The sequence below is a fragment of the Homo sapiens genome, chromosome 5 (genome assembly GCF_000001405.40).
Source record: "Homo sapiens chromosome 5, GRCh38.p14 Primary Assembly".
Lineage (NCBI taxonomy): Eukaryota > Metazoa > Chordata > Mammalia > Primates > Hominidae > Homo > Homo sapiens.
In genome coordinates this window covers 153,035,071-153,038,166 of record NC_000005.10, presented here as the reverse complement: position 1 = coordinate 153,038,166, position 3,096 = coordinate 153,035,071, and the positions used below count along the sequence as shown (strand labels likewise).

Here is a 3,096-nt window from a genome sequence, read left to right as displayed (position 1 = left end):
CTCCAAGTTGTAGAATTCCTAAGTTCTTATCGATTCCAATGAGCAGGAATTCTCTCATCTATGAAAAGAGGCCATGCTTCTACAGTATGAATATCTCTAGTGTTCCTACTCCATGAGGTAGCTCATCCCTTTGGGCAGCTCTAGTTATGAACTGTTTATTTTTTAAATGCTGTTGTATTCCCTAGTAATCCATCACATCTATGTCATCCATGCATTTATTTCACAAGACGTATTTCCCTCCATGTCTTGCTTCTGTTGTATTATCAACCTACAAGTACATCATCTTGGTGTATTGAAATTTTACCCATCATTCAGATTTCATTCCAAAAGCTAGTTTGGACATACTGCCTTTCCTGATTTTTCCATTTGACCCTATCTCTCCACTCCTTCCCAACCAGTGACAAACAAAGCAACTGGAAGTAATTGTACCTGCCCCTGAACTTTCTCAGCATTTTAGCTTTACCCCTCCTGTGACTTCATATGTTACACAATAATTCTCCATGTACCTGTCTCTATCCTCTGGAATGAAAGCTTTAGCAAGATAGTGATTATGATATCAATTAGGATGTTTTGAATTTCCAAGAAATAGAACAACCAACTAAGATTGACTTATACAGTAAAACATTTGTAATCTCATTTAATAGAAGTTTGGAGCTAACAGTTGCAATATAACAATTTAATTGCTCAATAATTGTGGACTTGGATTTTTTTTTTCTATGAATTTCTTGCTTTACACCTCAAGGACCCAGGCTGGTTGCCATGGTGCCAAACGCAGTTCCCCAGGGGTCAATATTTGAGGAGGGATGACAAGTCTAGTGCCTCTACAGGCCTGTTTTTCTTTTTTTTTTTTTTTTTTTTTTTTAAAAATTTTATTTATTTATTTTTTATTGATCATTCTTGGGTGTTTCTCACAGAGGGGGATTTGGCAGGGTCATAGGACAATAGTGGAGGGAAGGTCAGCAGATAAACAAGTGAACAAAGGTCTCTGGTTTTCCTAGGCAGAGGACCCTGCGGCCTTCCGCAGTGTTTGTGTCCCTGGGTACTTGAGATTAGGGAGTGGTGACGACTCTTAACGAGCATGCTGCCTTCAAGCATCTGTTTAACAAAGCACATCTTGCACCGCCCTTAATCCATTTAACCCTGAGTGGACACAGCACATGTTTCAGAGAGCACAGGGTTGGGGGTAAGGTCACAGATCAACAGGATCCCAAGGCAGAAGAATTTTTCTTAGTATAGAACAAAATGAAAAGTCTCCCATGTCTACTTCTTTCTACACAGACACGGCAACCATCCGATTTCTCAATCTTTTCCCCACCTTTCCCCCCTTTCTATTCCACAAAGCCGGGATTGTCATCCTGGCCCGTTCTCAATGAGCTGTTGGGCACACCTCCCAGACGGGGTGGTGGCCGGGCAGAGGGGCTCCTCACTTCCCAGTAGGCGCGGCCGGGCAGAGGCGCCCCTCACCTCCCGGACGGGGCGGCTGGCCGGGCGGGGGGCTGACTCCCCCACCTCCCTCCCGGACGGGGCGGCTGGCCGGGCGGGGGGCTGACCCCCCACCTCCCTCCCGGATGGGGCGGCTGGCCGGGCGGGGGGCTGACCCCCCCACCTCCTTACAGGCCTGTTTTTAATCTGGGAAGAAACGATTTCCCCAAAGCTTACCAGTAGAGTTCCTCTAATGTCTCATTAGCCAAAACTGATTTACATGCCTGTCCTAAACCAGTTGCTGGCAGAGAGAATGGAAATCATGACCACTGGTTTAGAGCAATCAAAGTTTAAGCCAATCAAAATGCATCCCGTGGTGTGGAAGGAGGGGCTCATCTTTGCTGAGCACATTGCCATCTGTCTGACTGCTGAATAAAATTGGAGTTCTATTTATTAGCAATCGGGGAGGAAATGGCTCTCTTAAATAGAGTCAATAATATTTGAATATATTGAATCTATATTCAGTAGGTGAAATAATATTAGCTATAGCTTTGACTTCGCTAGCTCTGCATTTCTCACAATAGCTAGTAAGATTTCAATTGGGTAGAACTGCTTTTTGGGACAAAATTGACTACTTACATTCAACAAATATTAAATATCTATGATAGGCACTGTCCTAGAGCTTAGATACACATGGTGAGTAAAATCAGATGGCATCCCCACCAACAATATAAAAATAATAGATAACTTCACTGCGTAGCAGGTAGAGTGCTAAAAACTTTACAGGCAGTATCTTAATCTTCAACCCTATAGGATAGGTTCTATTAAAATCACTATCTTTTAATGAGAAAATTGTGACCCCACAAAGAATGTTGTCACATTCTTTGTCATAAAGGTGACTGAGGTAAAATTCAAGTCAAGCTTTATTTAAACTCCTGTGAAATAAAGTGTGTGTGCGTGTGTGTGTGTGCTTGTGTGTTAGAGAAATAGAATTGCTTGTTGGAGTAGTAAGTTCTCTGACTTTGTTCTGACTAAAGTGCATATTTTATTATGTTCTCTCAGCTTTTATTTATGTTTTTTGAGTCTCAGTCTGTAGCCCATGCTGGAGTGCAGTGGCGTGATCTCAGCTCACTGCAACCTCCTGCCTTTTGGGTACAAGTATTCTTGTGCCTCAGCCTCCTGAGTAGCTGGGATTACAGGCATGCATGACTATGCCCAGCTATTTTTTTTTCTTTTGTATTTTTAGTAGAGACAGTGTTTCACCCTGTTGGTCAGGCTGGTCTCAAACTTCTGACCTCAAGTGATCTCCCCACCTCAACCTCCCAAAGTGCTAGGGTTACAAGTGTGAGCCACCGTGCCCAGTCAGCTTTTCTTAAACTCCATGAAAGCCCCTTTTATCTTTAGTTCAGGATTCAGGGGCCAAGTCTGTTTACCTGCATGAGATTTCAGATGATGATTTTCTCCTCTTAGCCTATGACTTCACTACCTGAAGAATAAGCTCTGGCTATTGAGGAAGCCACTTGTACATTGGTAGAATATAATACAGTGGTCATTTCAACTCCTCACAGTCTTCACCAATCTTATGTTTATACCAACAAATAATACCAGAATTGAAATTACATGGTTTAATGATAAAGAAGATCTGGAAAGCAGAATATTTTGTTATTCCTACAT

The 3,096-nt window shown here is 42.5% G+C and overlaps 1 annotated feature.

Moving 5' to 3' along the window:
* Nucleotides 1,698-1,895: a silencer, noted in NCBI's record as "fragment chr5:152415832-152416029 (GRCh37/hg19 assembly coordinates)". NCBI's record gives its function as "represses an EF-1alpha promoter that drives an FKBP-Casp9 reporter gene in an ReSE screen in HepG2 liver carcinoma cells {active_cell/tissue: HepG2}" and the evidence as "EXISTENCE:reporter gene assay evidence [ECO:0000049][PMID:32094911]".